The sequence below is a fragment of the Homo sapiens genome, chromosome 11 (genome assembly GCF_000001405.40).
Source record: "Homo sapiens chromosome 11, GRCh38.p14 Primary Assembly".
NCBI lineage: Eukaryota > Metazoa > Chordata > Mammalia > Primates > Hominidae > Homo > Homo sapiens.
Genome location: NC_000011.10, coordinates 47,688,660 through 47,709,104, shown reverse-complemented (window position 1 = coordinate 47,709,104; position 20,445 = coordinate 47,688,660). Strand labels below are relative to the sequence as shown.

Here is a 20,445-nt window from a genome sequence, read left to right as displayed (position 1 = left end):
TGTCGCCCAGGCTGGAGTACAGTAGCACTATCTCAGCTCACTGCAACCTCTGCCTCCCGGGTTCAAGCTATTCTCCTGCTGCAGCCTCCTGAGTATCTGGGATTACAGGCGCCCGCCACCACTCCTGGCTAATTTTTGTACTTTTAGTAGAGACAGTGTCTCGCCATGTTAGCCAGGCTGGTCTCAAACTCCCAACCTCAGGTGATCGGCCCACCTCAGCCTCCCAAAGTGCTGGGATTACAGGTGCGAGCCAACACACCCAGCCAATATTGATAATTTTTTTTTTTTTTTTGAGACAGAGTCTTGCTCTGTCAAAAGGCTAGAGTGCAGTGGCTCCATCTCGGCTCACTACAACCTCCGCCTCCTGGCTTCAAGTGATTCTCCTGCCTCAGCCTCCCGAGTAGCTGGGACTACAGGCACGCGCCACCATGCCCAGCTAATTTTTGTATTTTTAGTAGAGACGGGGTTTCACCATGTTGACCAGGATGGTCTTGATCTCTTGACCTCGCGACCCGCCTGCCTTGGCCTCCCAAAGTGCTGGGATTACAGGCATGAGCCACTGTGCCCAGCTGATAATTTTTAAAGGAAAAATTTAAACTTCTCTTTGGAAAAAATACCATTGATAAAGTAAAGGACAAACTAAAAAAAAAAAAATTTGCAACAAATATGCCAAAGGGTTCATTTCCTTTACATATAACAGCTCTTTCAAATCAGTAAGTGTTAATAAAAGATGATTGGGCTGGGCACAGTGGCTCATGCCTGTAATCCCAGCACTTTAGGAGGCCAAGGTAGGCGGATCACCTGAGGTCAGGAGTTCGAAGCCAGCCTGGCCAATTTGGTGAAACCCCGTCTCTACTAAAAATAGAAAAATTATCCCAACGTGATGGTGCCCACCTGTAATCCCAGCTACTCAGGAGGCTGAGGCAGGAGAGTCGCTTGAAATTGGGAGGCAGAGGTTGCAGTGAGAGGAAATTGCACCACTGCACTCCAGCCTGGGTGACAGAGCGAGACTCCATCTCAAAAAAAAAAAAGATGACTAAATCTGAACATGGTGGCAAATGGCTGTAGTCTCAGCCACTTGGGAGCCTGAGGCAGGAGGATCATTTGAGCCCCAGAATTGCCCAGGATTTTGAGTCCAGCCTGGGCAACATAGAGAGACCCTTTCTCTAAATAAACACAAACAAAAAAGATGACCAAATAGAAAAATGAGTAAAAGACATGAACAAGTAGTTCATGGAAAAACATAGTCAATAAGCATATGAAAAGATTCTCCACTACTAACTGAAAATGCAAATCAAAATAGCAAGTTACCATTTTTTTAAATTATGAGATTTGGGCAAAATTTTAAAGAAACTTATACGTAGTGTAGGTTAGGGTATGGAGGAACACACTTTCCTATACTGCTGTTGCCAATGTGAGTAAGTAGACTTTTAGGAAGGCAATTTGGCAATAGCTGGTGATATTGTTTGGCTGCGTCCCCACCCAAATCTCATCTTAAATTCCCACGTGTTGTGGGAGGGACCTGGTGGGAGGTAATTGAATCATGGGGGCAGGTTTTTTCCATGCTGTCCTTGTGATAGTGAATAAGTCTCACGAGATCAGATAGTTCTATAAGGGGGAGTTTCCCTGCACAAGCTCTCTCTTGGCCTGGTGCCATTTATTTAAGACATGACTTGCTCCTCCTTGCCTTCTGCCATGATTGTGAGGCCTCCCCAGCCACGTGGAAGTGTAAGTCCATTAAACCTCTTTCTTTTGTAAATTGCCCAGTCTCAGGTATGTCTTTTTCAGCAGTGTGAAAATGGACTAACACAGCTGGGAAAATTAAAACAGTAATTTACCCTTGATGTAGTATTTCCCTTTTCAGGTATGTATCTTATACGTTTGCTTACACCAGCCCAAAAGTTTCCTATATTCTGTGTGCTAAAGCTCCTGGCAGGGAGTAGAAAGGCACGATCTCTGCTCACTGCAACCTCCACCTGCCGGGTTAAAGCAATTCTCCTGCCTCAGCCTCCCTAGTAGCTAGGATTACAGGCACGTGCCACCATGCCTGGCTAAATTTTTTTTTTTTTTTTTTTTTTTTAGTAGAGACAGGGTTTCACCATATTGGCCAGGCTGGTCTTGAACTCCTGACCTCAAGTGATCCGCCTGCCTTGGCCTCCCAAAGTGCTGGGATTACAGGCCCGGCTAATTCTTTTTTTTTTTTTTTTTTTTTTGGAATAGTAGAGACAGGGTTTCACCATGTTGGCCAGGCTGGTCTCGAACTCCTGACCTCAAATGATCCGCCTGCCTTGGCCTCCCAAAGTGCTGGGATTACAGGTGTGAGCCACCACACCCAGCAACCCTGTCTTAAAAAAACAAAAGAGAAAGCCTTTTCATATGAGCACCACAAACAAAACAAAAAACACATTCTTTTGAGGCTGGACTCAAATTCCTGGGCTCAAGTGACCACAACCCAACCCCTACCCTGCAGCCTCTGGACTAGGTGGGACTATAGGCACACGCCACCTCTCCTGCCTTTACCCCATTCTTTATAAGGGCACCTGTCATATTCCACAATTATTTATTTTTATTTTTATTTATTTTTTTTTTGAGACGGAGTCTTGCTCTGTGCCCCAGGCTGGAGTGCAGTGGCGCAATCTAGGCTCACCGCAAGCTCCGCCTCCCGGGTTCACGGCATTCTCCTGCCTCAGCCTCTCGAGTAGCTGGAGCTACAGGCGCCTGCCACCACGCCGGGCTAATCTTTTGTATTTTTAGTAGAGACAGGATTTCACCATGTTAGCCAGGATGGTCTCGATCTCCTGACCTCGTGATCCGCCCACCTCAGCCTCCCAAAGTGCTGGGATTACAGGCATGAGCCACCGCGCCCAGCCGGCCAGGCTGGTCTTGAACTCCCAACCTCAGGTAATCCGCCCGCCTTGGCCTCCCAAAGTGCTAGGATTACATGTGTGAGCTACCGTGCCCAAACTGCTTTATATTTCTTTAGTTATGAGTGACATTGTGCAGCTTTACTATCTTTTCAAATGTTTATTTCCTTTTATTTCCCCCATTAAAGTATGGGAGAAAGATTTAGATAGAAATGCAGGGGTCCAGAGTGAGCATAGGAAATGAGAAGGGATGGGGATAGCAGACAGAAGAAAAGAAGACAACGATCCCTGACACCAAGGGTGCCTCCTCTTCCTCTTTCTAGGGCCTATCAGTTTATCTTCAGCTGTGCACAGACAGATAGAAGCCATCAACAGAGGTATTTCATGTCCTTCCAGACCAGAAGATTCAAGCTCCTTTTTTGGACTATGTCTTCATCACCTGCTGTTCCCACCAGACCTAAGAATTACCAGACAGGAATGGGATTCATGCCTGATGAGCACTGAAGGACCCTCAGCCTTTAGTTCCCCCTTTCATTTCCATTTTTTTCTTTTTTCCTCATTCCCTTTCTTCTTTTTCTTTTTCTTTTTTTTTTTTTTTTGACACAGACTTTCACTCTTGCCTGGGCTGGATGCAGTGGCGCGGCCTCAGCTCACTGCAACCTCCACCTCCCAGATTCAAGGATTCTCCTGCCTCAGCTTTCCGAGTAGCTGGGATTACAGGCATGTGCCACCACGCCCAGCTAATTTTTATGTTTTTAGTAGAGACAGGATTTCACCACGTTGGCCAGGCTGGTCTCGAACTCCTGAACTCAGATGATCAGCCCGCCTCAGCCTCCCAAAGTTCTGGGATTACAGGCTTGAGCCACCACGCCTGGCCCCTCCTTTCTTTTTTATCTTCCTGAAAGCCTTTCTTTTCTTCCCTTTTTTCTCATTCTTTCTTTCCCAAGAGCTCTTCCTCTCTTCTGCCCCATCTCATGCCTTCTCTCCCCTTCCTCTTTCCATCTTCTTTGTTTTATGTCTGTCTTTCCTTTGTATGGTTATATTATGGCCCTGAAATTTTATTTATAGATTATTTCACTATAGTTGATAAAAAAGAAGAAAAAAAGAATAAAGTTTTATGTAATTTTTTCTAAAATGCTAATGGATATATTGAAATTTCCTCTCTTGCCACTAGCTAAACAAAAATAATAAAACATATTAAGTAACTTCTTATTCATTGTAACCCACTGTTGAAATGTCTTGGACCATTAAATTTAATTTTTAAAAGGTTTTTAATTTACCCTAAAGCTTTATATTTAAACATTTAATAGACTGTGCAGAATTTTAACGTTTTATAATTTTGAACCTGTTATTCTGGACTAAATCTTCTTGAAGGAGAAACATGTCAGAGAATCACATATCTGTGCTAATATTTTAATATAATGCTTAAAATAGTTTCATTGTTATAGATGAGCAGTAAAGTTCCCAAGGAGGAAAAGGAAGATGTTCACTTACTCTCTTTCCCTTTGGCAGATTCACATATGCTGAGTTTACCACATCTTAGGAGCAGACAGCTTCTTTATGATGAGTTGGATGAAGTAAACCCACGTCTTCGAGAACCCCAAGAGCTCTTTTCCATTTTGTCTACCAAGAGGCCACTGCAGGCTCCAAGATGGCCAATTGAATGTGAGGTCATCAAGGAAAACATCCATCATATTGGTAATATGACTTACTCACAGTGGTCTTGCTATTCTGCCTGACTTTTTTTTTTTTTTTTTTGAGACGAAGTCTCACTCTATTTCCCAGGCTGGAGTGCAATGGCGCAATCTCAGCTCACTGCAACCTCTGTCTCCCAGGTTCAAGGGATTCTCCTCCCTCAGCCTCCTACTGAGTAGCTGGGATTACAGGCGCACACCACCACGCCCAGCTAATTTTGCATTTTTAAGTAGAGACGGGGTTTCATCATGTGGGCAAAGCTAGTCTCGAACTCCTGACCTCGTGATCCGCCCACCTTGGCCTCCCAAAGTGCTGGGATTACAGGCATAAGCCACCAAGCCCGGCCTTCTGCCTGACTTTATTACAAGATCTGAGAATGTTAAGTCCTACGTGCTTAAGTATAAGGCAGGACAGAGTCAACATTTATTTATTTATTTATTTACTGAGACAGAGTCTCACTCTGTCACTCAGGCTGGAGTGCAGTGGCGCAATCTCGACTCATGGCAACCCCCACCTCCCAGGTTCAAGTGATTCTCCTGCCTAAGCCCCCCAAGTAGCTGGGATTACAGATGCCTGGCCACCACGCCTGGCTAGTTTTTTTTTTGTTTTTTTTTTTTTTTGAGACTGACTTTCGCTCTTGTTGCCCAGGCTGGAGTGCAATGGCATGAGCTCGGCTCACTGCAACCTCCGCCTCGCAGGTTCAAATGATTCTCCTGCCTCAGCCCCCTGAGTAGCTGGGATTACAGGCATGTGCCACCACACCCGGCTAATTTTGTATTTTTAGTAGAAACGGGGTTTCTCCATGTTGGTCAGTCTGGTCTCGAACTCCCCAACCTCAGGTGATCCACCCGCCTCGGCCTCCCAAAGTGCTGGGATTACAGATGTGAGCCACCACACCCGGCTAGTTTTTTATTTTTATTAGAGTCAGCGTTCCTCCATGTTGGCCAGGCTGGTCTCAAACTCCTGATGCTAAGTGATCCACCCGCCTTGGCCTCCCAAAGTGCTGGGATTACAGGCATAAGCCAGTGCACTCAGCCTAGAGTCAACATTTATTAACTCACCCTGGAAAAAATTAAACTGTGAGAAACTGATATAAACTCACCAAAATCAAGTTACACTAATGTGTAAACTAGAATGCTTCTGAGTTTTTCAGAATGAGAGGATACCTTCCTAGAAGCCAAAATATATAAATACTGAAATCTGTTTTCTAGATTAACCTGTTTCAGTGGTTTTTTTCTTTTCTTTTTCATTTTTTGGAGAGAGGGCATAGCATCTTATCTAAAAATACAGGGGTGCTACCCTGTCTCAGTATTAATGTGTTTGGTTGTGTGGTATTTTTACCAGTCTTGGTATAATTGAAGACTACATATACCACGACATAGTTTTTACAGTTTTTAATTAAATATAAAATTAATTTAATTTTATATTTTGAGTTTATTGGAGTTTTCTTGTCGGAATGGTGGAGACTTTTTTATGACATTATGGGTCATACCTGTGAGCTCTTGGAGCAAGTACAATCTTCTGCATCCATTTTATGGATTAAGCATTTATGGAATTGGGTTGCATTAGAAAGTGGGGACTTCTCTAATTACCAGAACAAGTCTAGCAAACATCACGTATGTCTCTGCTTTATACTACTGAATAAACAACTGGATGTTCCTTTTTTTTTTCTGAGACGGAGTCTTGCTCTATCACCCAGGCTAGAGTGCAATGGCTCCATCTCGGCTCACTGCAACCTCCGCCTCCCGGGTTCAAGCGATTCTCCTGCCTCAGCCTCTGGAGTAGCTGGGATTACAGGCACCCACCACCGCACCCAGCTAATTTTTGTATTTTTAGTACAGACGGGGTTTCACCATCTTGGTCAGGCTGGTCTCGAACTCCTGACCTCATGATCCACCCGCCTCGGCCTCCCAAAGTGCTGGGATTACAGCCATGAGCCACCGCACCCAGCTGGATGTTCCTCATTTTCTGTCTCCCTGCTTTATAATATTCGTTCATATGTGTTGTTATATGCTAAGTACAGTGCTTGGTGCTAGAGATAGTAGTGATGAGCAAAGTGGAGAGTTCATGGACCCAGAGTTCATGAACTAGTGGGGAAGTTAAACATTTTAACAGACAATTGCATAGTGCTTGGTCCCTCTGAGCATACCTAACCCAGCTTAGAGATCAGCATAAGTTTTCAAAAGGAGTTGACAACTAAGCTGAGATCTAAAGGATGAGTTCGAAATGATCCAATTAAGAGGGTCAAAGAAAAGTATTTCAGTTGGAAGAAACAGAAAAAGAGCATGGCATGCTTGGGCAACCATAGAACATTGAGCATTAAAAACAAGAGAAGAGTCTGAAAATATAGGGAAAAAATAAAAGTAGAGTTTATTTGACTTTATATTTTATTTTTGAGACAGGGTCTTGTTCTGTCACTCAGGCTGGAGTGCAGTGGTGCAATCATAGCTCACTGCAGCCTTGAACTCCTGGGCACAAGCCATCCTCCCCTCTCAGCCTCCTGAGTAGCTAGGACTATAGGCGTGCACCACCATGCCTGGCTAATTTTTTTTCTTTTTTTTTTTTTTTTTTTGAGAACAGAGTCTCGCTCTGTCGCCCAGGCTGGAGTGCAGTGGCATGATCTTGGCTCACTGCAACCTCCGCCTCCCAGGTTCAAGTGCTTCTCTGCCACAGCCTCCCAAGTAGCTGGGATTACAGGCACGTGCCACCACACTCTGCTCATTTTTTATATTTTTGGTAGAGACGGGGTTTCACCATGTAGGCCAGGCTGGTCTCGAACTCATGACCTCAAGTGATCTGCCTGCCTCAGCCTCCCAAAGTGCTGGGATTACAGGTGTAAGCCACTGTGCCCGGCCACCTGGCTCATTTTTAAATAGTTTTTTTGTAGAGACACATGGTCTCACTATGTTGCCCAGGCTACTCCCAAACTCCTGGCCTCAAATGATCCTCCTGGCCTCCTAAAGTGCTGAGATTACAGGTGTGAGCCACCACCCCCAGCAAGGACACTGGAATTTAATAACCAAGTTAATGCTGTGGTAATTCACTAAACTACAAGATCTTTTTTTTTTTTTTTTTTGAGACGGAGTCTTGCTCTGTCGCCCAGTCTGGAGTGCAATGGCACAATCTCGGCTCACTGCAACCTCCGCCTCCCAGGTTCAAGCAATCTCCCTCCTCAGCCTCCTGAGTAGCTGGGATTACAGGTGTGCACCACCACGCCTGGCTAATTTTTTACTTTTTTTAGTAGAGACGGGGTTTCACCATGTTGGTCAGGCTGGTCTCGAACTCCTGACCTCATGATCCGCCCGCTTCGGCCTCCCAAAGTGCTGGGATTACAGGCGTGAGCCACTCACTGCGCCCAGCCAACTACATGATCTTTTATAAAGCAATTTTTAAAAAAATGTTTCAAAGAAACTTATTAACAAACACCTTATTGTTTAAACTAAATTGTATTAATAAGCACCTTATTGGTTGTTTGTTTGTTTTTTTTTTTGAGACAGAGTCTCACTCTGTCGCCCAGGCTGGAGTGCGGTGGCACCGCGTCAGCTCACTGCAGCCTCTGTCTCCTGGGTTCAAGCAATTCTGCCTCAGCCTCCTGAGTAGCTGGGATTACAGGTGCCCACTGTAACTCGGCTAATTTTTGTATTTTTTAATAGAGACGGGGTTTCACCGTGTTGGCCAGGCTGGTCTCGATCTCCTGACCTCATGATTCACTCTCCTTGGCCTCCCAAAGTGCTGGGATTACAGGCATGCAAGCACCTTATTGTTTAAACTAAATTGTGAAAGCCTCATCACTTCCTATAATCTTCGAGAAAATAAATTCATGTAATATTTGACTGAGGTGTATCTTTATATGCTCTTGGAATTCATCAGTGGCTACTCTTCTAAAAATGATATTGAAAAGTTCAAGTTCCGTAAAGGAAATGTTTGTTTGTTTGTTTGTTGGTTTGTTTGTTTTAAATTTATTTTGAGACAGAGTCTTGCTCTGTTCGCCCAGGCTGGCACGCAGTGGCGTGATCTCGGTTCACTGCAACCTCCGCCTCCCAGGTTAGAGCGATTCTCCTACCTCAGCCTCCCGAGTAGCTGGGACTACAGGCACATGCCACAATACCCGGCTAATTTTTGTATTTTTAGTAGAGGCAGAGTTTCACTATGTTGGCCAGGCTGGTCTCGAACTCCCGACCTCAGGTAATCTACCCACCTTGTCCTCCCAAAGTGCTGGGATTACAGGCATAAGCCGCTGCACCCAGCCAAAGAAATCTTTTTAAATTCAGTGTTAATGAAAAAGCCTTCGCTAGGCACAGTGGCTCACACCTGTAATCCCAGCAGTTTGGGAGGCAGAGGAGGGCGGATCACCTGAGGTCGAGAGTTTGAGACCAGCCTGACCAACATGGAGAAACCCTGTCTCTACTAAAAATACAAAATTAGCCGGGAGTGGTGGCACATGTCTGTAATCCCAGCTACTCAGGAGGCTGAGGCGAGAGAATCGCTTGAACCCGGGAGGCGGAGGTTGCGGTGAGCCGAGATTGCACCATTGCACTCTAGCCTGAGCAATAGAGCAAGACTCCATCTCAAAAAAAAAGAAAGAAAAGAAAAAGGCTTGCTTCCTCTGAAACAATTGATAGACCTAGTCCTCTATGGTAATAAAAAAAATTATGTTAATGACCATATTTTGCTCACTTTAAGGAAACTCAGGGCCAAATTTTGAAGAGCTGTTGCAGCAGCTATATTGACCTTTCTGACTTATTCTTAGGTCTTCTATGGATAGTTTATATTTCATTTTATATGCTCTTTGTTAAAAGTGTCCTCATAAGTCTTTATAGAAAGAAACAAGACATAATTATTTTATAAACAAGCAGGAAATTTAGGGTGGGAATTTGGTTTGATTCAACCAAACTAGCCATTTGAAAAATTATTATTATTATTTTATATTAGTTCTGATAGTGCCGTTTACATTATTTCTTATTTTGTACTTTTTAAAATGTCTTCTTTCAGAGTGGGCTCCACCTCAACCAGAATATTTCTATCAGCCTAAAGGAAATGAAAAGGTACCAGAGATTGTAGGAGAGAAAAAAGGAACAGTTGTCTATCAATTAGATTCAGGTATTGTCATTACACTGAACAATGAATGGTTAATCATGACAAAGTTATAATAAACATATGTTCCATAATAAAAGTGATTTTAAAAATCCATAGTTTAGTGGTAAACTCTTTTCCAGGCCAACATGAGTGGGAGCCTGGAGGAGGAGTCATAACCAGTCTGCTGCAAAATTTCGATAATTTTCTAAAATCAAAGTACATTATTTTTAATAGTTCTAAGTCCATTTTACAGCTTCTCTCTTGTTATTCTCCTTCCTGAAAATCAGATGTTGGATCATCTTTGGGGAGATTTCTTTTCTCCACCTGTTATACGTACTTTAGTGAGTACTTTGTTCTATGTGCATATGACTGTCATTTAGTAATGCAGTTTCCTGTGTTGAGTTTTAAGCTTCTAAGGATTGAATATATATCTTTTATAGAAATATGCAGAACACCATACCTAACAACAACAAAATACTCATTCTTTTTTTTTTTTTTTTTTTGCCATTCCTACTGAAGTCATACACATTCTTTTTAAGGGTACCTGTTAGATTCCCCAGGATAAACCATATGTTAGGCCGTAATGGAAGTTTTTATACATGTAAAAGGATTAAAATAATACAAAGTACATTCTCTGACCATAATAAAATTAAGTTAGAAATCAACAACAGAATGAAATATGAGATATCCATAAATATGTGGAAATTGAATAACATCTTTCTAAATAAACTGTGGGTTAAAGAAATCACAAGTAGACTTCAAAAATATTTTGAATGTAGTGAAAATAAAACCATAACATATCAAAAGTTATAGGATGCAAAACAAAATGAACCAGTGCCAGGGATATTTATGGGTATTTATGGCTTTAAGTGCCTGAATTTCAAAACGAAAAAGGCTTCTTATCAATTACCTAAGCTTCTACCTTAGTAAACTGGAAAAATAAGAGCCAACTAAACCCAAAGCAAGCAGCAGGAAAGTAGTAATAAAAATAAGAATGTGGCTGGGCGCTGTGGCTCACGCCTATAATCCCAGCACTTTGGGAGGCCGAGGCAGGCAGACCACCTGAGGTTGGGAGTTCCAGACCAGCCTGACCAACATGGAGAAACCCTATCTCTACTGAAAATACAAAATTAGCCAGGTGTGGTAGTGCATGCCTGCAATCCCAGCTACTTGGGAGGCTAAGGCAGGAGAGTCTCTTGAACCTGGGAAGCAGAGGTTGTGGTGAGCCAAGATCGTGCCATGCACTCCAGCCTGGGCAACAAGAGTGAAACTCCGTCTCAAAAAAAAAAAAAAAAAAAAAATTATGTAGACTGGGCTTGGTGGCTCATACCTGTAATGCCAGCACTTTGGGAGGCCAAGATGGGCAGATCACCTGAGGTCGGCAGTTCGAGACCAGCCTGCCCAACATGGTGAAACTCTGTCTCTACTAAAACACAGTAAATTAGCCAGTCATGGTGGCAGGCGCCTGTAAACCCAGCTACTCAGGAGGCTGAGGCAGGAGAATCGTTTAAACCTTGGGAGTTGGAGGTTGCTGTGAGCCAAGATGGCGCCACTGCACTCCAGCCTCGGCAACAAGGGTGAAACTCCGTCTCATTAAAAAAAAATAAAAAATAAAATAAAAAAAGGCCGGGCGCGATGACTCACGCCTGTAATCCCAGCACTTTGGGAGTCTGAGGCGGGCGGACGACGAGGTCAGGAAATTGAGACCATCCTGGCTAACACGGAAAAACTCCGTGTCTACTAAAAATACAAAAAAAATAGCCGGGCGTGGTGGCACACGCCTGTAGTCCCAGCTACTCGGGAGGCTGAGGCAGGAGAATGGCGTGAACCCGGGAGGCACAGCTTGCAGTGAGCCAAGATTGCGCCACTGCACTCTAGCCTGGGCGACAGAGCAAGACTCCGTCTCAAAAAAAAAAAAAAAAAAAAAAAGTAGGCTTGGCGAGGTGGCTCACGCCTGTAATCCCAGCACTTTGGAAGGCCAAGGTGGGCGGATCATAAGGTCAGGAGATCGAGACCATCGTGGCTAACATGGTGAAACCCCATCTCTACTAAAAATACAAAAAATTAGCCGGGCATGATGGCATGCGCCTGTAGTTACAGCTATTCAGGAGGCTGAGGCAGGAGAATCCCTTGAACCTTGGGAGGTGGAGGTTGCAGTGAGCCAAGATTGTGCCACTGCACTCCAGCCTGGGCGACAGACCGAGACTCCATCTCAAAAAATCATCATCATCATCATTAAGAGGCTGGATGTGGTGCCTCATACCTGTAATCCTAGCACTTTGGGAGGCTGAGGTGGGTGGATCACTTGAGATCAGGAGTGTGAGACCAGCTTGACCAACATGGTGAAACCCTGTTTCTACTAAAAATACAAAAATTAGTTGGGTGTGGTGGCATGCCCCTGTAATCCCAGCTACTTGGGGGGCTGAGGCAGGGGAATTGCATGAACCCAGGAGGCAGAGGTTGCAGTGAGCCAAGATTGTGCCACTATACTCAGCCTGGGTGACAGAGCGAGACTCTATCTCAAAAATCAATAAATAAATAAAAAATAAAAAAGGAAAGCATTGAATAGAAGACAGAAAACTGATGGAGAAAAACAAACCAAAAGTTGGTTGTTTGGAACATCAACAAAATTGAAACACATTTGCTAACCCAAGAAAGGAAAAGAGGCACAAATTATCAAAATCAGAAATGAAAAAGGTAACATAAGGACCAAACCTGTACAAATCAAAAAAATTACAAGGTAATACTATTAACAACTTTATGACAACAAATTAGACAATTTAGATCAACAGGACGAATTGCTAGAAAGTTACAAAAACTGACTCAAGGAAGAAATAAAAGGTTTAAATACATTATAACAAAGAAATAATAATTAGAAATCTTTCCACAAAGAAAACCCAGGCCCACCTGGGGCCTGGTAGTTCAGGCCTCTAATCCCAGCACTTTAGGAGGCCAAGGCAGGTGGATCAGCTGAGGTCTTGAGTTTGAGACCAGCCTGGCCTACGTGAAACCCTGTCTCTCTACTAAAAACACAAAGAAAGTAGCCTGGTATGGTGGTGCGCACCTGTAGTCCCAGCTACTTGGGAGGCTGAGGCAGGAGAATTGCTTGAACCAGGGAGGTGGAGGTTGCAGTGAGGCAAGATCACACCACTGCACTCCAGCCTGGGCAACACAGCAAGACTCTGTCTCAAAAAACAAAAAACAAACAAACAAACAAACAAAACCCAGGCTCAAATGACCTACTTCACAAGGTTTGTTTGAAATCTTTTTTTTTTTTTTTTTTTGAGACAGAGTCTCACTTACTCTGTCACCCAGGCTGGAGTGCATGGCACTGCAACCTCCACTTTCTAGGTTCAAGCGATTTGTTCCTCAGCCTCCAGGGTAGCTGGGATTACAGGTGTGCGCCACCACGCCCAGCTAATTTTTTTTTTTCTTTTTTTTTTTTTTTTTTTTTTTTTTGTATTTTTAGTACAGACGGAGTTTCACCATATTGGCCAGGCTGGTCTCAAACTTCTGGCCTCAAGTGATCCACCTGCCTCCGCCTCCCACAGTGCTGAGATTACAGGCGTGACCCACCACACCTGGCTGGTTTGTTTGAATTCTGTTAAACATTTAAAGATGAAATAATACCAATATTTCACCAACTCTGAAAACAGAAGAGGAAAAAATGTTTCCCAACTATTTTTTTTAATTTTTAGACAGGATCTTCCTCTGTCGCCCAGGCTGGAGTGCAGTGGGATGAACATGGCTCATTGTATCCTCCACCTTATAGGCTCAAGTGAATTGTCCAACCTTAGCCTCCTGAGTAGCTGGGGCTACAGGCATGTACCACCCTGCCCAGCTAATTTTTTGTATTATTAGTGGAGACAGGGTTTCACCGCTGCCCAGGCTGGTCTCAAACTCCTGTGCTCAAGCAATCTACCCACTTCAACCTCCCAAAGTGCTAGGATTACAGGTCCCATTCCCCTCAACTGTTTTTTTTTTTTTTTTTTTTGAGACAGAGTTTCACTTTCGTCGCCCAGGCTGGAGTGCAGTGGTGTGATTTCGGCTCACCGCAATCTCTGCCTCCCAGGTTCAAGCGATTCTCCTGCCTCAGCCTCCCAAGTAGCTAGAATTATAGTTGCCTACCATCACACCTGACTAATTTTTGCATTTTTAGTAGAGACAGGGTTTCACTATTTCAGCCAGGCTGGTCTCTAACTCCTGACCTCAGGTGATCCACCCACCTCAGCCTCCCAAAGTGCTGGGATTACAGGCGTGAGCCACCATGCCCAGCCTTTGTTGTGGCGTTTTTGTTTTTGTTTTGTTTGTTTGTTTTTTGAGACGGAGTCTCGGTCTGTTGCCCAGTCTGGAGTGCAGTGGCGCAATCTCGGCTCACTGCAACCTCTGCCTCCCGGGTTCAAGCAATTCTCCTGCCTCAGCCTCCTGAGTAGCTGGAATTACAGGCACCCGCCATCACACCTGGCTAATTTTTTATCTTTTTGGTAGACACTGGGTTTCACCATGTTGGCCAGGCTGGTCTTGAACTCCTGACCTCAAGTGATCCACCCGCCTCAGCCTCCCAAAGTGCTGGGATTACAGGCATGAGCCACCACGCCTGGCCTGTTGTGCCATTTTTGTTTGCCCACTTACTATTCCCCATTCCCCTGCCTAGCAGAGGTCATGAGGATAGCAGCCCGCCATCCTGATGTGGAATGCTGGTGTTGGAAGTGGAAGAGGGGAGGAGGACAATGTAGACCTTATTCTCAAACTGGTCGTGACTCTTTTTTACCTTTCTCACAATTCCTTGAGGAGCCAGAGGAAAGACTGACTTTTGTTACTGCCTCCCTCAGGCTAAAGCAGTTTTTCCAGGTGCCATCTGCATCTATCAAATTTTAAAGTGTATTTAAAGACATACACTGCTCATAGCTACCTGGGGCAAGGGATAGCAAATAGGCAAGGAGCAGATAGGCCCAAAAGCCTGGGAAAGAAGCTGAGGAGAAAGATTCTTGGGGAAATGAGCACTTGGAAGGGCCTCCACATATACTGGAGAACGCAGTATACATGGCTAGGGCTGGACCCACATTCAGAAAAAACCTGAGAGGATCCTAGGCTTGCATCTCTGGTTGGTGGTTGGGCTCTGTGCAACTAAAGAGGAAGGCTAACATCGAGTTTTTGGCAGCCTGACTTAGTGTTGAGGAGTGCCTCACCTCAAAGCCAGTCTGCCCAGACTAGGAAAGTTTTGTGCTTTTTTTTTTTTTGGCTTGGGAGTGAGTGAATGAATGAATGAATGAATGATAGGATCTCACTTTGTCACCCAAGCTGGAGTGCAGTGGAAAAATCACAAATCACTGCAGCCTCGACCTCTCAGCTGAAGCAATCCTGCCGCCTCAGCATCCCGAGTAGCTGGGACTACAGGTGCACACCACCACCCAGCTAACTTTTGTATTTTTTGTACAGAGTATATCACACGACATTTTGCCATGTTGCCCAGGCTGGTCTCAAACTTCTGAGCCCAAGCAATCCTCTCACTTCAGCCTCCCAAAGTGCTGGGATTACAGGCATGAGCCACTACACCTAGCCAAGCCCTGGTTATTGAAGAAATCTCTGTCTGGTCACTGGCTGACCACTGATATAATGGAACGGAGAAGACACCTGGTGACCTACACATGACAAGAATAACATATTCAGTGGGGAAAGACTGAAAACTTTCCCTCTAGAATCTGGAAACTTCAAAGGGCTTTTATGCAGAACGAAAAGATGTTCCTCAAATTTATATGGAATTGTAAAGGGCCCTGAATAGCCAATACAAAAAAAGAAGTACAAAATTCGAAGATTCACATTTCTTGATTTCAAAACACTACGAACATACAGTAATCAAAACAGTATAATCCTAACACAGGGTAGGCATATAGGTCACTAAAACAGAACTGAGAGTCCAAAAATAAACTCATATTTTTGGTCAATTCATTTTTGACAAGGGTGCCAAGACTGTTCAGTGGAGAAAGAATGGCCTCTATAACAAATGGTGTTGGGATAACTGTATAGCCACACTCAAAAGAATGAAGTTGAATCCCTACTTCATACCATATTTAAAAATTAACCCAAAATGGATCAGTGGCCTAAAGATAAGTACTGAAACTATAAAAATCTTAAAACAAATGAGCCGGGCAGGGTGGTGCACGCCTGTAGTCCAGGCTACTCAGGAGGCTGAGGCAGGAGGTTCACTTGAACTCAGATGTTTGAGGCTGCCATGAGATATGATTGTGCAACTGCTCCAGCCTGGGTGACAGAGCAAGACCCTGTCAAAAAAAGGAAGGAAGGAAGGGAGGGAGGGAGGCAGGGAGGGAAGAAAGAAAGAAACAGGTATCTGCAGGATGCAATGGCTCATGTCTGTAAACTCAGCACTTTGGGAGGCTGAAGAAGGAGGATCGCTTGGGCCCTGGAGTTCAAGAATAGCCTGGGTGACATAGTGGGACCTCATCTCTACAAAAAAATTAAACAATTAGTTGGGTGTGGTGGTGCACTCCTGTGGTCCCAGCTACTCAGGAAGTTGAGGTGGGAGGATCACTTGAGCACAAAAGGTAGAGGCTGCAGTGAACTGTGATTCACGCTGCTGCATTCCAGCCTGGGTGATAGAGTGAGACCCTGTCTCAAACAAAGAAAACATAGGGATAAATCAAAACATAGGGATAAATCTTCATGACCTTGGATGTGGCAGTGGATTCTAGATATGACACCAAAAGCATAATTCATTTAAAAAAAAATTGATGTTGGATGGCCAGGCGTGGTGGCTCACACCTGTAATCCCAGCACTTTGGGAGGCTGAGACGGGCAGATCACAAGGTCAGGAGATCGAGACCATCCTGGCTAACACGGTGAAACTCCGTCTCTACTAAATATACAAAAAAATTAGCCAGGCGTGGTGGTGGGCGCCTGTAGTCCCAGCTACTCGGGAGGCTGAGGCAGGACAATGGCATGAACCTGGGAGGCGGAGCTTGCAGTGAGCCAAGATCGTGTCACTGCACTCCAGCCTGGGTGACAGAGTGAGACTCTGTCCCAAAAAAAAAAAAAAAAAAAAAAAAAGATTAAAAGTCTCTGCAAAGATAGTTGAAAATTAGAAATTTCATTGTTGGTCTAGAATAGTGTTGACCACTTAGAGGGGCCACTTAAGTATTTGCTGAATGAGTGGATTCTGAGTAGAACCTAGCCTAAATATATCTTTTCTCTGCAGTGCCTATAGAAGGTTCCTATTTTACCAGTTCCAGAGTGGGAGGCAAACGAGGAATTGTCAAGGAACTTGCTGTCACGTTGCAAGGACCAGAAGATAATACTCTACTGTTTGAATCAAGGTTTGAGAGTGGGAATCTGCAAAAAGCTGTCAGAGTGTGAGTAACAATTTCTCAAAGGGATGATAATTGGAGTGACTAGAAGGTGTCTTCAGTAATGATATTAGGAATCAGAAGTACTTGCAAAAAAGAAAGAGGTGATGGGGAATAGTTATGGGTATGAAGAAAAATGGAGTAATTATTACTCATTTTTTCCCCAAAATAAAATGTTTTCTAAATTGTTTACTTTGCTTATAGAAGAAATTAGAGCTCACCTAAAATTTGTATTAGTAAAAATATGTAACATAAAAAGTCCTATAGTCATACTTCCTAGATGCAGCAAATATTAAGTTTAGTGTATATGCCTTAATATTTTTCTGTGTGTGTATATGTAATATGCACAAATTATATATATATATATATATATATATATTTTTTTTTTTTTTTTTTTTCTTGAGATGGAGTCTCTCTCTGTTGCCCAGGCTGGAGTGCAGTGACATGATCTTGGCTCACTGCAAGCTCCGCCTCCCAGGTTCATGCCATTCTCCTGCCTCAGCCTCCTGAGTAGCTAGGACTACAGGCGCCTGCCACCATGCCTGGCTAATTTTTTTGTATTTTTAGTAGAGACGGGATTTCACCATGTTAGCCAGGATGGTCTCGATCTCCTGATTTCGCGATCTGCCCGTCTCGGCCTCCCAAAGTGCAGGGATTACAGGCATGAGCCACTGTGCCCGGCCATTTATATATTTTTAAAATAAAAATTGATTAATGGTGTATGTACATATTGTTTTGCAAATTGGCAAATTTTTTTTCCACTTCATAAATTTCAGGTGTTTTTCTATGGCAGTACCATAGATATACTTCCTTATTGTTTTTGTTTGTTTGTTTGTTTTTTCCTCAAGATGGAGTCTTGCTCTGTTGCTCAGGCTGGAGAGCAATGGCACGATCTCAGCTCACTGCAACCTACACCTCGTGGGTTCAAGTGATTCTCTTGCTTCAGCCTCCTGAGTAGCTGGGATTACAGGCACCCGCCACCACACCTGGCTAATTTTTTTTTTTTTTTGTATATTTAGTAGAGATGGGGTTTCACCATGTTGGCCAGGCTGGTCTTGAACTCCTGACCTCAGGTAATCAGCCCGCCTCAGCCTCCCAAAGTGCTGGGATTACAGAGAATAAATGATTAAGGTAGCAGATTTTTCTGTTGTAATAAGACCTGTTTTTACCAGGAGAAAACAACATTTTCCCAATTTGTTTTTTAAGGCAGGGTGTAAGCTTACAGAGTTGTTCTATTTTCTCCATTACAGAGACACCTATGAGTATGAACTCACCTTGCGAACTGACCTCTACACTAACAAACACACTCAGTGGTTTTATTTTCGTGTTCAGAACACCAGAAAAGATGCTACCTATCGCTTCACCATTGTCAACTTGCTAAAACCCAAGAGTCTTTATACTGTAGGGATGAAGCCACTCTTGTACTCCCAATTGGATGCCAACACCCGCAATATTGGCTGGAGGAGAGAAGGAAATGAAATCAAGTACTACAAGAACAACACGGATGATGGGCAGCAGCCCTTCTACTGTCTCACGTGGACCATTCAGTTTCCATATGACCAGGACACTTGCTTCTTTGCACACTTCTACCCATATACATACACTGATTTGCAATGCTACCTCCTGTCAGTGGCAAACAACCCTATCCAGTCTCAGTTCTGCAAGCTCCAAACTTTATGCAGGAGCCTAGCAGGAAATACCGTTTACTTGCTCACCATCACCAACCCATCCCAGACCCCTCAAGAGGCAGCTGCAAAGAAAGCTGTGGTCTTGAGTGCCAGAGTTCACCCTGGAGAAAGTAATGGCTCCTGGGTTATGAAAGGCTTTTTGGACTTCATCCTTAGCAACTCCCCAGATGCCCAGCTCCTCAGAGATATTTTTGTCTTCAAGGTGCTTCCCATGTTAAATCCAGATGGTGTGATTGTGGGGAATTATCGGTGTTCCTTGGCCGGAAGGGATTTGAACAGGCATTATAAAACCATTCTGAAGGAGTCTTTCCCTTGTATTTGGTACACCAGGAACATGATCAAAAGGTGAGACTTTTTATCTGTTGATCTTTCTGTGACTGCTATGAGTCCTAGCACCAGATATCCCTACCTGATGGGGTATGAGGTCTCTTCTGTTGTTAAAGGAATTGAGTATGACTTTGGAGACAGAGCCCTTACCAGTCTCTTTGTAGTCAAGTGACTTTGTTAATTTTCAGACTTTTAAATCATGTCTTGTCTTTGGGTTGAAACTGGACATGCAACATTTCAGCAAGAGTCATTTCACTTGTAAGTGAAATAATTGAATGGAAAAGGTCAGAGTTCAGGGGAGTTCATAGGTCTTCATGATGAGACTTGTATCATAATAATAGTAGCTAACAATTAGTAAATGTGTATGCATGAAGTGGCAAGCTGTATGGTAGGTGCATTACACACATGACTCATTTAATCTTCACATTAACATTATGAGGTAGGCACAGTCAATATCGCATGTTGTATGATACAGAAATTGAGAACCTAGGCCAGGCGTGGTGGCTCACGGCTGTAATCCCAGCACTTTGGGAGGCTGAAGTGGGCGGATTACCTGGGGTCAGGAGTTCAAGACCAACCTGGCCAACATGGCGAAACCCAGTCTCTGCTAAAGATACAAAAATTAGCCAGGCGTGCTGGTGGGTGCCTGTAATCCCAGCTACTGAAGAGGCTGAGGCAGGAGAATCGCTTGAACCAAAGAGGTAGAGATTGCAGTGAGCCAAGAGCGTGCCACTGCACTCTAGCCTGGGTGGCAGAGTGAGACTCCATCTCAAAAAAAAAAAAAAAAAAAATTGAGAAGTGGGTAGGTTAAGTAACTTGCCTAAGGTCATAAAGCTATTAAGTGACAAAGTAGATATTTAAATACAGGCTCTCTCTCTGGTTCCAGAGTCTAAATTCCTTTTACGATCTTATATTGCCTATCACAAAGAAAGAATCATAACATCAGTCAGCAGTTTTCAAGCCTGTATAAAAGCATTGAAGGCTATAATGTAATAGCACCCACCTTAAAGGAATTTTCATGCCATTGGAAATGAAAATACAGCATATAAGAATATGTGGGCTGGGCTCAGTGGCTGACACCTGTAATCCCAGCACTTTGGGAGGCTGAGGCAGGCAGATCACCTGAGGTCAGGAGTTTGAGACCAGCCTGGCCAACATGGTGAAACCTCGTCTCTACTAAAAATAGAAAAATTAGCCGGGCATGATGGTGGGTGCCTGTAATCCCAGCTACTCAGGAGGCCGAGTCAGGAGAATCACTTGAACCTGGGAGGCAGAGGTTGCAATGAGCTGAGATGGCACCATGGCAGGCATAGCTAAAGAGCATATGTTTCAGAGTCAGACAGGCCTGAGTTTGAGACCTGTTTTTACTGCTGGCTGGTTCTGTGACCTTGGCTAAGTGATTTAATGTGTCTGAGCTTCAGCTTTCTCATCTGT

The 20,445-nt window shown here is 43.9% G+C and overlaps 1 protein-coding gene across 1 annotated transcript in view; it reads left to right on the top strand.

Annotated features, from left to right (window-relative positions):
• AGBL2 (AGBL carboxypeptidase 2) overlaps window positions 1-20,445 on the top strand; it is a 55,779-nt gene that overhangs the window by 6,265 nt on the left and 29,069 nt on the right. Inside the window, exons 5-10 of the mRNA NM_024783.4 lie at window positions 3,188-3,241; window positions 3,471-3,584; window positions 4,377-4,562; window positions 9,552-9,659; window positions 16,849-17,002; window positions 18,247-19,029. Of these exons, the coding sequence (NP_079059.2) occupies window positions 3,188-3,241; window positions 3,471-3,584; window positions 4,377-4,562; window positions 9,552-9,659; window positions 16,849-17,002; window positions 18,247-19,029 (1,399 nt within the window). The remainder of the gene's footprint in view (window positions 1-3,187; window positions 3,242-3,470; window positions 3,585-4,376; window positions 4,563-9,551; window positions 9,660-16,848; window positions 17,003-18,246; window positions 19,030-20,445) is intronic.